The 16,855-nt window shown below is 40.3% G+C and overlaps 1 long non-coding RNA gene across 1 annotated transcript; it reads right to left on the bottom strand.

Moving 5' to 3' along the window:
- Positions 1-736: 736 nt before the first annotated feature.
- On the bottom strand, positions 737-16,620 carry LINC02869 (long intergenic non-protein coding RNA 2869). The gene is made up of 3 exons (NR_146760.1): positions 16,528-16,620; positions 3,265-3,362; positions 737-1,308 (listed from the first exon to the last, which is right to left on the bottom strand). It is a non-coding gene; the product is annotated as a long intergenic non-protein coding RNA 2869 (long non-coding RNA).
- Positions 16,621-16,855: the final 235 nt, after the last annotated feature.

The raw sequence follows: 16,855 nt of genomic DNA, 5'->3' as shown, positions 1-16,855 counted from the left end.
TGCATTTGTATTTATGTCTTTGAATTCTATTTCATCTTTTTCCTATTCTCCACCGCACTTAGCACAAGGCCTGGCCAACTTTCATGTTGTTGAATAGGTTGTGTGTGTGTGTGTGTGTGTATGTGTGTGTATGTTTAGACCATGGATTATGAAATCAATTCAAACCATTACCTTTGGGAATGCCATAATTATCACAGTCAGAATAATCTGCATAGATAAGAGGAAATTAATCCTGATAATATGTGGTCTAAGCAACCAAACAAGTTTTTCCTCGTATACTCAGCAATGGTTTACTAAGTCATATAATCTATCCTAGCAGTTGAAGGGGAAGAAAAAAAACAAAGCAAAAATTACATGACTATCACATTTCCCCATAGTAAGTGCCTCAGGCATTCATCTGCTGATTTATCTTCTACCATGCACATAGTTAAAACTAATTGTATTATCATTATTACTTATTAAAGGAAAACTTAGGATTTCCCCCTTATACATTTCTTTGGGTTGACCCCAAATTTGTTTTGAGTTCTTTGCTATAATATGCACTCTAATTTTCCTCTAAACTTCTGGATCATAATTTACCCAGATCATTAGCAATTTTCTTTCCTTATTGTATGATTTCTGTCCGCCTCTGGGTGGCTTTATTTTAATTAGAAAAAAATAGAATGGAAAAGTTTCAATTGTAAACACACAAAGGTTCTGTTGGTAAGTAGGAGTTTGGCAGAAGAAAGACCCATGGTGAGCTTAGCTGAAGTTTATTGGCTCAAAAACAAGAACAATTTTGAAGGAAATTAGGATAGTTTTTTTAAAGTGACAATTTTCTCCATCAGGTAGATTACACTATTTCCTGTTATTTTATGATACCGATATTTCACTTACACATTTTCTCCAGAGCCCATAAAATTTTCCATCTGGGGTACAGTTTTCTAATCCCTTTGTAAGCCTTGGATTCAGTTTCTCCTTTTCTTTTTTTCCTCACTTTCTTTTTTTTTTTTTTTTTAAAGTGTCAGTCTCCAGGAACCTTTATCAGATAGCAGGGAACATGTTTACATCTTAGCTAAAGAGCTTATCCACTCACAGAAAGCTTCCCATATAGCCCTGGAGGACAGAGGGTGGAAGTAAAAATCAGGCTTAACTACTAAAATTACCTCTGCCTGAAACTTTAGCTTATGCCTTAAACAGCTTACAACTAAAATCCTTGAAAATGAAGACTCAGGGCTTCCAGCCGATAGATGTTTTCCACACAGGAGATGAAAGAGCAGGTACAGCCTGGGTTTCTTTCAATGGGAAGGAAGAGCAATTGGTTGCGGTCTGTAGGAAAAGAAAAAAAGCAAATGTCCTTTAAAAGCTTAATAGTACCAAGAAGATCTTTTTCTCCCTTTCTCTCCCAGTGGAACCATAAAGTCCTCCCAGGCAAAGACCGGGCCGACAAAAAGAAAAAGAGAGAACAAAAGCTGAAGCATCATGTGGATAGAGTTACAGACTGATCACAACTCACGTGATGACATTTTATGACTGATGGAACAAAACGGGAAACAGTTATTTCTTAATGGACATTATTTCCTGTTTCTGGAATACAGTGGTTTGTTTCATTCATTCGTGCCACATAGCAGGTCAGTTGGCTTCCCAGCACTCACCTTTGTTTATTGGCATGCAATGGTTTAACTTTTCTCCCACTGGACATATCCTTGCTCTGCCGCCTTCCTGTACCAACAGTTTTTGTCATCCCTTTCAGAATTTTAACAACATTCTGAGAAAGTTTGTTTAGAGAAAATATGGGAAGGATAACAAACGAATTTTCAAGTAGGAAAGCTGGGAGTGAATATTGGGTTCTAAAAGGTGAAGAACTTCCTCTGTTCAAATGAAGGGGAGGATAGCCAGGCTGCTAGCTGTGGGATCACATCAGTGACCAGCAGCGAGTTTGGCACTCAGGCAGAGCACACATGGAGAGGGCTTGAGAATATCCCCATGAGTGTGCAATGAGACAGAGAAATGTAAGCTATGCCCAAGAGCCTCTTGTGGGCAGGATGCCGTGGCATTTAAGCATCGGTAACATTGCTTTCTTCCTTCTCAATGTACTGGAGTATCATTTCAGTGTTAGGACTCAGACTATCTGCTTCAATATACAGCCAAAGTTAATATGAAGGTTTACACAATTATCTAGATAATTCATACAAAAAAGAAAACTACCAGGGAAACAAAAGCTTCACAGTATCTCCACTCAAAAGGCCTGACTGCTCATCCACCAAAATCAAACTCAAAATACTACCTGACCTAGTAAATCCTTGATTCATATTTGCCCAGTGAATCAATGAATGGGATGAATGAGTAAACTGAGTAAATCACTGACTCTATTTTATTCTCCACTTTACTTAAATCAGTAGCACCTCAGCTTATGAACTGAGATATTTTATACTGAATATTTCACATTTCTTCCCTAAATATTTTACACAAAAATCCAAAAGTTGCCAGCTGTTTGAAGACTCCAGGTTACTTTTACAAAAGAAAAACCACTTCTTAAAATTATGGTGTCAGCCAAAAAACCGCCCAGTCTTTTGGCTGCAAAAGTGTCAAAATGTAGGCTTCTTCCTGGGGACTAAAATTGTCTCTTGGAGAAAAATATCAGGTGGGAATTACCTGGAGAACAATTTACTAAAAGAGAGTCATTAACATCATGTTAAAGACATTGTTTAAGGAAGTAGCATGTAATAAATGATTTATTCATTAATTTGAAATATCATTTTATCATTGCTCTAAATGGTTATATTTGGAGTCTGACTATTCTCATTTATTTCTGTCCCCCATTTAGAAGTTAAATATTCTTATGACTTCATATAGCAAGAACAACACGTGTAGGTAAAATCAGGAAATACAAAAGGAACGAAAAAGGAAATTGCATTTTGTGCAGCTCCTACTGAGATAGCTAGTGACATTTGTTTTCCCCAGTGCCAGTGCTGTCAGAAATCCTTATCCACACATCTCCCTTATTACTCTAATTTGTCAAAATGATGGGTAAGTAAGAAAATAAACCTTTTTTCTCAATCTGTAATCAAATTATTAAAGCAACATGTTTGTAGTTATTGAAGCTCCCTCCGGCCTTCCTCACACTTCATGTTCTCAGCAAACCGAAATTCTCTGAATTAAAGTTCCCTGCTCGCAGCTCTCTTGTCTCCCTGTCTAAAACACTTGTTCCTCGAATATTTATTTAACCTCTGCAGACTCAGTTTATTTTTGTCTTTATTTTTAGCAGGGGGTGGTGGCACGCACCTGTAGTCCCAGCTACTTGGGAGGCTGAGGCAGGAGAATCATTTGAACCCAGGAGGCGGAGGTTGCAGTGAGCCAAGATTGCACCATTGCACTCCAGCCTGGCAACAGAATGAGACTCCGTCTTAAAAAATAAATAATAAATAAATAAATACAATAAAAAACTCACACCATTAAACAACTCTCCATTTCTCCCCTCCCCCTAGCCCCTGGCAACCACCATTTTACTTTCTGTCTTTATGAATTTAACTATTCTAGGTACCTTTCTTTTATAAGCATCTAGAATATACCTTATCATATATATATATGGAATCATGTGATATTTGTCCTCTTGTAATTGACTTATTTCACTTAGTATAATGTCCTCAAGGTTTATCCATGCCATGGCATGTATCAGAATCCCCTTTCTTTTGATGGCTGAATATTATTCATTCTATCATCTATCTATCTATCTATCTATCTATCTATCTATCTATCTATCTATTTATCTTTCGATGTATCTATCTATCTGGATATGTGGAGCTGTCCCATTGATGGACTTTTGGGAAGTTGTTTGTTTTTATTGACAGACGTTTGTGGATCTGTTCACTAAACTGTTGCCACCATGCAGACACAATGTCCCTTCCCCCTAAAATGAATTACATTTTTACATCCAAAAAAAAAAAAAGGGAAATAGGTCGGGTGCGGTGGCTCACGCCTGTTATCCCAGCACTTTGGGAGGCTGAGGCAGGCGGATCACAAGGTCAGGAGATCGAGACCATCCTGGCTAACACGATGAAATCCCGTCTCTACTAAAAATACAAAAATTAGCTAGGCGTGGTGGCGGGCGCCTGTAGTCCCAACTACTCGGGAGGCTGAGGCAGGAGAATGGCATGAACCCTGGAGACAGAGCTTGCAGTGAGCCGAGATAATGCCACTGCACTCCAGCCTGGGCGACAGAGCGAGACTCTGTCTCAAAAAAAAAAAAAAAAAAAAAAGAAAATAATTGCTCACATTACATTTCCCATAAAATGACCTTGTATGACCCAATCAATATACAAATATTTTGACTTTTCACAATTCAGATGTCTGAATCATTAGATTCTACTACTCATTTGATGTAAATAAAAAGTTATTCAATTCCTAAAGATTTATTCGCAAGCCAAATTCAATGTCCACGCTTTTGGAAATTCAAACTATAATACTATGGAGCTAGCTTTTGGATATTAAACTTTAAGGAAACCATGCTTCTTAAAAAGCATATTAACTTAGCCCTGGTCCACAGCTGCATTGCTCAGAGTACTTGTATACTAAAATTTGCTTTAAAAAGGAGCCAATTTCTTTCTTTTCCATATGCGATCTGTTACACTAGCAATATTCTAAGTGTAACGAGGGGCTTGGAAATGGGAAGATCACTAATTTGAATCTAGTATTTATTGATAAAATACAGGACACCCAATTCAATTTGAATTTTAGATAACCAATGAAGAATGTTTTAGTATAAGTATGTCCCATGTGACATTTGAGACATACTTATGTTAAAAAATTCTTCATTATTTATCTGAAACTCAAATTTAACTGGACATTCTCTATCTTTATTTGCTAAATAGGACAATCCTATGTGATTCCTACCCTGATCTGTAGGAACTTGAGCCAAGAGACAGATGGAAAAGATAACTGAATGAAAGTGTGCTAACACTAGGGGGCGCTGCAAGAAACAGAGTGAGGCCATACTGGGAATTGAAGAAAGAACAGTAAGGTTCTCCTGGCTCCACTGTGAAGAGCACTTGAGGAACACATAGGAGAGGAGTGACTTCGGCATGTATAACCATCAGAGCCACATAAACCAGCCCCAGCAGGGACAGGGCGCAGCCGCGCAAGCCAAGTCACTAGCAACCAGGAAGCCTCCAAGTCCAGCAGCCAGGGCAACAGAAGCAGCAGCTATGGCTACTGAGCAGCTGATCAGATGCTGGCCTCCACAACCACCAACAAAGAATTTTACTGGCTTCCAAGAAGGACAACTGAGCCTCCCAGGGATCCTGCCAAAGAGGGTTGAGTGGATATCTGGGAACTAAGTTTCTAACAATTCTGGTGGAGTGGTGGGGGTACAATTCAAAGCCTCTTTATAATCCCACTGGTGTGGCCTCCTTCTTGCCCCCACACACAGACATATGCACATTCCCAGAGTGACGCTCTCAAAAGCCAAAGCTAACCGGACTTCTCAACAGCAGAAAATATATCATTTGCACCCCCACAACTTCCCAAAGTAGCCTTCTCCATGTTCTGCGTTGCTCTTCCCAACTTGCCTTCCAACATAGACATCTCCACCAACTCAGATACCTCACTGAACCACCCGCCCCGTCTTCCAGATATAAGGGAAAACACTTCAAAGTTAAAAAGACAATTGTGATTCCAAAAATGATTAAAAAAAAAAAAAGGTCTGTGCCAAAAATAACAGCAACAAAAAGTGTGTTAAGATAAGTCTTACTGGCCAGGTGCAGTGGCTCACTCCTGTAATCCCAGCACTTTGGGAGGCCAAGACGGGTGGATCACCTGAAATCACGAGTTTGAGACTAGTCTGACCAATGTGGAGAAATCCGTCTCTACTAAAAATACAAAAATTAGCCGGGCATGGTGGCCCATGTCTGAAGTCCCAGCTACTCCAGAGGCTGACTCAGGAGAATCACTTGAACTGGGGAGGCAGAGGTTGCAGTGAGCCAAGATCATGCCACTGCACTCCATCCTGGGCAACAGAGCAAGACTCCATCTAAAAAAATAAAAAACAAGAGAAGTAAGTATTACCAAATGCCAAAGTATCAGTTCTAAGCAAAATGTTCTTTTTTTCAGACACTTCCTTTTCTGGATCCTTAAGAGAAATACAGGAATTGTAAATAACAGAGTTGAAAAGCTAATAATCTCTTCGCATCTTCCCTCTGGCTTCAAATTTCACTCACGTTCTCTGTTCAAGAAACTTGGCAGCTTGGAAACCAGGTACTGAAATTACGCGAAACTATAGTGTTATAAGTGTTCACACATACTATAAGTGTGTACACATACTATAGCTATCCGCCAGCTACACATACCTTTCCTTAGAAAATGACAAATCCATTTGAAATCAGGGTGAAACATTTAGATAGGCTTAACACTTATGTGTCCCGAGTCTCTCTTATCAGAGGAAGAAAATATAAAAATAACGAGTCCTAGGCTTACACAGTGACCTGAGCCACAAGCTGGGTGCAAAAACCCAGGTTTTGGGTTTAACCAACAGAGGAGAAATACTGGCTGGCTCTTCTGAAGAAAATTACTCACAATGCATTGCTAAAATTTATTCTTGAGAACAAAACCAGAAAGAAGGGATGAATTGGGACATAGAAAAAAAAACTTAAGCTTGATTCAGCTATCAACCGAGAGACCCTAGAATTGATGGTGACAGAGCAAACAGCAATTGTCCAGGGAGTACTTAAAACCACCTCTGTGTGTGATCATTGCCTCTATGATATGATTTCAGGGTTCTGGGAAATGTTTCTCATGTTGGTTGGCCATATATACCAGGCATTGCCAATAGTAACTAATAAAGACATCTATAAAAAATGTATAAGGAAATAGAAAACAAATACACAAATACACCATATTATTGCAATTTATGTTTTCACAAAAAACTCCTGTCACATTGCAACGTTGGTCAAAAAGATCTTCAGAGCATAACTCTGGGCAGAACTGTTCCTGCTCCTGGAAAAGTGAACCACAGTTTACAGCCAACACCCCAGTCAGAATGTCTTCTTGCCTTTGTCTAGTGCTTTGTAGATTACAAAACTGTTCTGTGAACATTTTCTCCTTTGATTCTCAGAATTTGTGTGTGTAGTGGACATTATTATTACTATTTTGTGTTTAAAGGAACCAAAGATCTTACCTACTTCTTCCAGCTTACTTCCCACCACATTCCTCTTATCTCTCTCCCCCAACCTCTCCAGGCTCCCTCTGGCCTTCCTCACACTTCGTGTTCTCAGCAAACTGAAATTCTCTGAATTCAAGTTCCCTGCTTGCAGCTCTCTTTTCTCCCTGTCTAAAACGCAGTTCCTTTCTTTCAAAGCACTTGCTCCTCGGATATTTATTTAACCTCTTCAGACTCAGCTTAAACCATGAGAAAGCTCTCTCTGACCCTTTAAGACAGACGTGTCTCCTCTGCACTGCCATAGGCTCCTTCCTGTAGGTCCCCTAAAATAGCTCTTATGGCACTTGGTTTTAATGACCTGCTTAATGGTCTGTCTTCCTCACTCAGCTTAGAGTCCATGAAGGCAGAAATCATCTCCAGTGCTGAAAAGATGTAGGTACCTAAAAAATATTTGTTGAAAGAATGAATAAAGTTACTTCCTCAGGCTCACAGAAAGGTGAGTGTCAGACCTGGGATGAAAATTCTGATCTGCTTCCAGTAAAGGGCCAGTTGTTATGTGGTTGACTGACACATGTGTTTTCAAGATGAAAGAGAGTATAACCATGTCAAAGAATGTTCAGAATAACTAGATCAGGTGAAGAACTCTCAGTAAATGTTAATCAACAAAATGTTAAAATTCACTAGACAAATCTGGGATATATCACCAAACTATTCACAATATGCCAAAGTCACACTCTTGACCTTCTTCTAGTGGAAATCATAGCTCCAAGAGGAAAAACACAGTATGTAATCTAAATGTTGGCCACAATGTCCCTCAAAAAGCATCAAACTGGAGCTTGACCATCATCTTGTCCCTCAATTAAGCAACTTTGTGTTAAATGCAAAGATGGTGCTGCTGACTCACACAAAGTTCTTTGCAATTTGAACACACAAGGTCATCCCTGAACAAGGTGAAAGTTGCTTCTGATGTTGTCTCAGCATCAAAAACTTGACAAAATTAGTCAGCATTCTTCACCAGTATCAAAGTCATCTTTAACTTGCGTATTTGTCTGCAGCTGTTATATCATCTTTCTATGTCTTTCTCCTTGGCTGTTCCTTTGTTCATGTAAATTTGCATTCAGGCCCTCCTTCTCCACCAAATGTTCTGACTGCTTTCTTTTCTCCCCTTGGAACAGAAGCATATGGCTTGCATCTGAAATCTATCCCTCTCATTTCTTTTTTGGCCAATCCGGTTAAACAATTGGCTCCACTGCTTTTCTCCACCAAAATGACTGGGTGTTTCACTTGCTTACCCAAAGGGTAGAGTTATCTGACTTTAAGCAGATGAGCCAACATTAATTTTGCAATTTGGAAGCTAAAGTATTGTCTCTGATCACAAAGTTTATAGGCATTAAAATCAACTCAGCTCAACTAGAAACAATTTCAAATCTTTCCTGCGAATTCAAAACAGAAACTTCTAAAAAGATAGTTTCATTACTTTTAGGGAGACATTTAAACACTACCTCTTCATATTTCCTTGGAAGGGAAAAAAAATACATTTCATTCCAAAGAGGAAAAAAATGGGAAAGGCGTTTTTGTCCTTTCTATCTGTTCTTTACTTCCTAAGAGCAGAAGAGTAAATTATCAGATTGGCAAGAATGGAAGAAGGAACTGAACACTGGCAAGAATGGAGGAAAGGGCAGTGTAACCAGCCCCTTCCAACAGATTCCAACATGTCCCAATTTCACTCCTTCCCTGGGCAAGAAAGCTAGGGCAGGGGGAAAGCCTGCAGTATTCTTACTGGGCTGTCTGCAGCTTGGTGAGTACATTGGTTCAACTCATGGGGAAGCAATTAGGTAACCTAATTATAGCCTCTCCTCCAAGCCATGTTTCCGAATCTGCTATTTCCAGTACAAAAAAAAGACTGATATTCATTTATCTTATCCCACTATCTATCTGGTTTAGAATTTAGAGGGAGACAGGAGAATGATTCATTACCAAATTTCAACACGTGTCTAATTTTCTGTTCCTTGGCTGATTATGTTGCCTACATCTCACGGCCACCAGAGAAATGCAGGCGTTTATAATCTTACGTACCATAGTCTGAATCCTGCTGCTTACAAGATTTGTGAGCATGGGCTAAACAAATTAACTTCTTTATGCCTCAATTCTGTCACTTCAAAACAGGACCAAAAATAGCTACCACATTCTGTTTCTACAAGAATGTAGTGAGTGAATTATATACAGTTTCTATCTAGCTTGGTACCCGATACAAATAGGTCTTGGTAGCTCTGTCACTTACAAAGTATAAGATGCTTTCCCAAAGTACCCATAATGATCAAACTAAGCAGAGAATAGAGGATGTTATCGGCATATAATGTGGAACATTTTTTTTTTTCTGAAGAGAGGGTGTATTATCGAAAAGAAACATCCCAGGTGGTTCAGATTTACTAAATACTGTTCAGCTCCCTCTGTCTTTCCTTCTGGGGATCTCTTGCCATAGTACTGCTGAGAAAAGAGTGGGTAAGAAGCTCCTTTTTATTGTAAAGCTAAAAGAAATGGCATAGCACCTGGTCACCCATTCTAGTGGTAACGAAACAAAAAGCTATGATCTTCCCCTCAAGCCTGCAACAGGGTCTTTCGAGAACCTCAGGAAAAAAGCCTCTGAGATTTTCAGCTCACGTGAGCAAATCCAAAGAGTTAGATAACTGAGATAAAGAACTCTGGTAGACTAAGTGGAGGCCATTGCATTTGAACAAATACCTTTGAAAGGTAGGAATATTCTTTGAATTTTTTCCCCTCCTAGAAACTGAAACTAGGGGTATTTAGGATCTCTTTATCCTGCCCTCTTGTGCAATTTCCTTTTCACTCTCAAATTCTTTTTGCTGTGCTTGTCATCACTTCATATTCTATGGACTGTATAAGCTGTCCTTTGTTCCTGCTATTTTAAGCTTCCTCCTTATCGCAGGACTGATGGTCTTAGCATCAGGTTTGAAACCCCTAGACATGCTGGAGCCACACTGCAGAATCCCAGCAGAGCTGAAGGGGTCCTTTTTCTTTCCCGAGGTGTTTTCAGTTTCTGAGGTTCAAATCATGAAAACAAAAGAGTTATTTCCTTTAACAGAGGCTCTAAGAGCATTTTTATTCTAACAAAACGCTATGTTTTAGTAAAAGAATCTGGTTGGAGATTGCCCCTGTAGTAGTTTCCTACAATGAGAAAAACTGGCTTCAAATGGCAGTTGTGTGTACCATGTATGTATTTTGATTTTTCTGATGCTACGTGTCCATATTAGAAGGACATAACATAGTTAGCTTCAGTTTGAACACAGGGTCAATCTTATCTACATGTAGAAGCTATCTAAGGCACTTTAGTCTTTCTTACCTGCTTGCTGGTATCTGAGATTCCCTCAGTAGAAGAGAGAGCCCTTCAATTCCCAGTTAGCAATAAGGATTAACACTGAAAATGCAAAAACAGTGGTTCTCCACCTGGTCTATTTCCACCTGAGTACACCTGAAGGATATGACACACGTAATAGGAGCTTATGGTAACAGTCAATCTCACCAGGTTGAGATTAGGAGAGCAAAGAGCTTTCAGAGAGTAAGATTTGATAGGGAGATAGACACTGGGAGAAAGGAGCCATAGAATGGAGAGGTCAGGACCATTAAGACAAATTTGAAGGACTCCCAATTCCTGTCCAAGGCTTACCCTGTCAACAGTAAAAAGCAAAAAAACACTTACATGAGCCATAGTTTCTGTATCATGGAGACTCTCATCTAGTACTTATATACCAATTGTTCAAATCACTAGCCTCCCTATATCTGCTTTTAAGTGGGTCTGACAAAATCCACAGTTTGCAGCCACCCCTGCCTTCTCAGAGGCATAACTCATCCAGCTATCTCTGCAGAGCAGATAGGGACCCCATGACAAAGTTATAAAGATAGGAACTTAGTCACTGTTTATTAGGAAATATTGGGTGTTCCATACAAAAAGAGGGATCTTATACATTTTTAATTCTTATACCTTCTTCATGAAGTATTAATATACTGCTTTTTTTGTTGTTGTTTGAGATGGAGTCTTGCTCTGTTGCCCAGGCTGGACTGCAGTGGTGTGATCCCGACTCACTGCAACCTCCACCTCCCGGGTTCAAGCAATTCTTCTGCCTCAGCCTCCCGGGTAAGCTGGGATTACAGGTGCATACCACCAAGCCCGACTAATTTTTGTATTTTTAGTAGAGGCGGGATTTCACCAGGTTGGCCAGACTGCTCTCGAACTCCTGACCTCATGATCCGCCTGCCTCGGCCTCCCAAAGTGCTGGGATTACAGGCATGAGCTACCATGCCTGGCCAATATACTGCTTTTAAGAAGAGAAAAATGAGTCTTAGAGTGCTTAAATACCATGATTGCATGGCTGCTGACTCCAGAAGTCTTTAGTCTTTCTCTAACATCCTCCTCTCCTCTGCCTGTATATCCTGCAAAAATGTTCAAGACCCACAGGTAATAGTCCAAGTACTAAAGAGATGGGCAATCCTAACCCTGCTGCCTGGGTTGGTACTTTTCAATGGTGACATTTTGGAAGTATCCCTAGAGCTTTGAGCATAATGTTTCTGTCCTAACATTGTAATCAAGTATGTTAAACATGACTCAGAGACGAACTAATAAAAGTGTTCATGAAACAGACAGAGCAGCTTGTTCACTCCCATGGACATATGAGAGGAAGGTTGGACTACCACTCTCTAGTCATAAATTATGGTCAGGCTGTCAGACACTTGCAACTCAACAAGATCCTGCTCTGCCCGCCAATCTCCCAAAAGACAAGCTAAATTCCTGGTACAGTTGTGGGCAGTGATTCTTAAAGTGTGATCCCTGGAGCAGCAGCAGCAGCATCACCTAAGGACTTGTTAGAAATGCAAATCTGGCCGGGCGCAGTGGCTCACGTCTGTAATCCCAGCACTTTGGGAGGTGAAGCAGGCAGATCACGAGGTCAGGAGATCGAGACCATCCTGGCCAACATGGTGAAACCCCATCTGTACTAAAATACAAAAATTAGCCGGGTGTGGTGGCGCACACCTGTAGTCCCAGCTACTTGGGAGGCTGAGTCAGGGGAATCGCTTCAACCAGGGAGGCAGAGGTTGCAGTGAGCCAAGGATTGTACCACTGTACCCCAGCCTGGCAACAGAGCAAGACTCCGTCTCAAAAACAACAACAACAAAAAGAAATGCAAATCCTCCCACCAATCCCAGGTCTACTGCATCAAAAGTTCTGAATCAAAAGTTTTCCAGGTGATTCTAAGCATATCAAAGCTTGAGGACCACTCAGCATCACCTCCTGTACCTTGATAATTTCAGCTCTCATTGGTCCAGTCGATCAGCTAAGCCACAAAAATTGAGCCATTACCAGCTGTACCAGTCTTGGTAGCTGTACCATTCTATCTCTAGAGAGATACAATCTTCTCTATCCTCAAGAAGTTACATATAGACTTAAAACAAGTTAAAAAAAAAAAGTACATAACACCATGCTGCACTGTGATTAGGCCAGACTCATACAAAGAACCATGTGACTATTACATATGGTTAGCAGAGATCAGTCAATTCCAATTTAGGTGTGCAGGGAAAATGCATATTTTCTTTCTTTTCTTTTCTTTTTTTTTTTTTGAGACAGAGTCTCACTCTGTGGGCCAGGCTGGAGTGTAGTGGCACTATCTTGGCTCACTGCAACCTCTGTCTCCTGGGCTCAAGCAATTCTCCTGCCTCAGCCTCCCGAGTAGCTGGGATGACAGATGTGTGCCACTATGCCCAGCTAATTTTTGTATTTTTAGTAGAGATAGGGTTTCACCATGTTGGCCAGGCTGGTCTCAAACTCCTGACCTGCTTCAGCCTCCCAAAGTGCTGGGATTACAGGCTTGAGCCACCACGCCCTGCCGGAAAATGCATATTTTCAAATTATGCAAAAGATCTATGGATCACTAAACATCTATGGCAGCCAATGGCTGCCCTGATGCTAATTCCTTGAAAATAGGGTGGCTCTTGGAGAAAGCATTGAAGACATGAAACTCAGAATTAGAAATAGCTTCAGATTGTACACATAATTGCCTTTGGCTGCCAACCAAAGGCTTGTGTGTTCAGTGAGGGGAGTATTTTTGATCATCATCAAGCCATATTCATGTCTGCAGATAGAGATCTCCACATTAAAGAATTTCAGTCTCAGGGTTTAGACAGATGGCTATGCAGGCCAGTCACTATAGTAGATAAGAGAGTTATATCTCGGACTTGGCTCAGGCAGAAAAGATTTAAGTATTGTACTTGTTCAACAGAAAACTGGATATTAATTAGCCATTTATTGTGTGCTTTATGTATACAGAACACTTACTGGTTATAAGAGGTAGTTAAAACAGCACTCACTTTTGAGTAGCTCAAAAATTCCACTAAGATGTCAAAAACAACAAATAAGCAATTAAAAAGTACAAAGGAAGACGTGAGTACAGAATGAACTGTCTGAATTGAGTAGCATTATCTAAGGAGTGACTGGAAATAAATTATGTTAGTGAAGGAGAATGCAACTAAAATATAAAAAGTTAACAATAAGGAAAGGAAAATAGAAAGGATGATGATTGAAGACAGGAGGAACAAATGATATAAAGAATATGGAGAAGCCAGGCACAGTGGCTCACATCTGTAATCCCAGCCCTTTGGGAGGCCAAGGTGGGTGGTTCACTTGAGGTTAGGAGTTCGAGGCCAGCCTGGCCAACATGGTGAAACCCCATCTCTACTAAAAACAAAACAACAACAAAAAAAATTAGACCAGTGTGGTGGCAGGCACCTGTAAATCCCAGCTACTAGAGAGGCTGAGGCAGGAGAGTTGCTTGAACCTGGGAGGCAGAGGTTGCGGTGAGCCGAGATCGTGCCACTGCGCTCCAGCCTGAAAGACAGAGTGAGACTCTGTCTCAAAAAAAAAAAAGAAAAGAAAAGAAAAGGAGATGGAGAGTATCAATCTACTTGAAATCTACAGAAAACGGATCAATTTCTAAAGAGAAATGGAAAAGGACCTGGAAAGGTCAATGAGTTGGTAACCTTGAGTTCTGTTATCTTAATTATTTAAAGTAGACATTCAGAATTCAATACAGAATTCTGGATAGCATAATGCCTTGATAGAAAGTATGCTTGAAGACAACTTCCTGTTGTGTATCAACTAAATAGAGCTATAGGAGAAAAACAGCCCAACTCTGTAAAAGGTTCTACACAAATGTTGAGAGCAAGAGGGTCGCCATCTTGCTTTGTGGTTGTGGAGTGCAGGCAAAGGAGAGAGGACTGAAGAAATGCACAGAGAACAGTGAACAAACCATGCAGAAGAGCAGCCAAAACCCAGGGCTTAGTTAGGTTGTCTTAACCCTAGCTGCACAATAAAATCACCAAATAGACCAGGTGGGGTGACTCACACCAGTAACCCCAGCACTGGGAGGCTGAGGCGGGCGGATCACGAAATCAGATCGAGACCATCCTGGCTAACACGGTGAAACCCGTCTCTACTAAAAATACAAAAAAAAAAAAAAAACAAACAAAAAACAAAACAAAAAAAAAAACTGGCCAGGCATGGTGGCAGGCGCCTGTAGTCCCAGCCACTTGGGAGGCTGAGGCAGGAGAACGGTGTGAACTGGGAAGGTGGAGCTTGCAGTGAGCCAAGATCGCACCACTGCACTCCAGCCTGGGCGACAGAGCGAGACTCTGTCAAAAAAAAAAAAAAAAAAAAATCACCAAATAACCGACCCAGACCAATCAAATTCTAGTCTCTCCAAGCTGAGATGATATTAGTCTTTTTTTAAAAAAACTCCTCACACATTTCTACCATGCAGCCAGAGTTAAGAAGCACCAGCCTAGTGCCCAGGAACACCGCAGCGGCAAAGATTATTAGGAGTCAATGATTTTATTAAACTGACCTGTTTAGTGAGATGGTGGCAAATTCTTTCAAGGTAGATTATCTGTAGGGAGAAGGAAGTATGGGCGTTCAAGGCAAGAGATAGAAAGTGGAAGTCATTAACTTACAGGGGATTTTTCTTTTTTTTTTTTTTTTTTTGAGATGGAGTCTTGCTCTGTCACCCAGGCGTGATCTCTGCTTACTGCAACCTCCACCTCTCGGGTTCAAGCAATTCTCCTGCCTCAGCCTCCCAAGTAGCTGGGACTATGGGCATGTGCCACCAAGCATAGCTAATTTTGACTTACAGGGGATCTTTAAAGCTGTGTTAGCAGGTACCTCTAAAAGACTGCAGAGAGAACAGAGAAACTAACACAGATTTGTGGACCACTGCTTCCATGGTTTATCAGAGTAATGAGTGGATTATGGGTAAATAAAATGGGAAATCAGCAAACAGGAATCAAAAAGCAGGGGCAAACCGTCAGTCATCAATCACATGCAATGAAAAGATCCCTTGTCAATACTGAACTCTGACTTTTTGCATTATTTTCTTCCTTCCCTCCCCTTCTAAATGGGCTTAGCTTTACCAGGTAGTCTCCTAGCTTTGTAGAATTTTTCCTATAAAATGCTTGCCAAAAGAAAGAGAAACACTTGCCTACCTTTTCATGTCTGCCCTTAAACATGTGAGTGGCACTCCAAGTGGTATTTTCCTCCGTCTCTGCTCTATTTTAGCTGACTGTTTCCTGCTGCCTGAAATTAGCCTGCCCCTAACTGTATAGATTACTTAGGTATGGCTTGCCTAGAGTAATAGATCCTAGTATTAAAAACTTTTGAATAATTCCTATCCACTAAAGTTATTTGATTTTAATTGAACTGAGCAGAATAAACTGACCTCTTCCAAATATTAATAAGTCAGATTGAATGAATCTTTCTGGGTTTTATTCTGCCTCTTAGCATCAAAGCAGAATTTTCCAACTTGAAAATCTTAAAAAGAGACCCTCAGTTATAGTCCGCTTTTAATGCCTGCTTAACTCATTCTGAAATAAATAAGTGGTAAAAGGAACAGGACTACCATCATCTGCTTAGGTTAATCATTGGTAGTGGAAAAAAATTGCTGAGTCAGCCACAGTGATGCTGTGCTGGTTAAAGTCTCACAGATCCTCACAGTTAATGACCATGATTGGTGAAGCAGTTCTCCAATATCACCTTTATTGTCTGTATGAAATCCTTCATATTTTGTAAGAGATGTAATTTCACTCTGTGTTCACATGGTATTGTCAACCACCAACAGTCAATGAGAGACAGATAACATAAGATGGACAGAGGTGGAACAGAGACGATAGAAACAGAAACCAGGGCCACGTTGTGGGAGAAAGTACAGCATGGGTTAGTTCCATAAGTGGTCAGTTCAATCGTGAATATTTTTACTTTATGATCACTCGTTCTTCTCGGTGTAATCTTGTAACTTCTGGGACTCACACAATTCATTTTTTAATGAAAATGTACTTACATTGTCTTATATATTGTAGTATTTGCATTTTTGAGTATATACTTCTTGATTCTGTAGTTAATTTCATCAAACATATCTTTCTGATATGACCCCTGTTTAAAAAAAAAAAAAAGTGAACCTTTTGAAACTCAAGCCTGATCAAGCTACTTCTTGCTTAAAATACTTCAGTGGTTTTCCACTGGTTTTTAGGAGAAACACCAAAATCCCTAATAGGGCCTACAAGCCAAGCAGTGTGTGGCCACTGCCTGCCTTGGAACATACTCTACCTTGTCCTTTATATTCCAGAATTTGTAAAATGGCTGAGTAACAAGTTTAATCACATTATTAC

The sequence above is a fragment of the Homo sapiens genome, chromosome 1 (assembly GCF_000001405.40).
Source record: "Homo sapiens chromosome 1, GRCh38.p14 Primary Assembly".
NCBI classification, from domain to species: Eukaryota; Metazoa; Chordata; class Mammalia; order Primates; family Hominidae; genus Homo; species Homo sapiens.
This window is presented reverse-complemented; position numbering and strand designations above follow the sequence as displayed.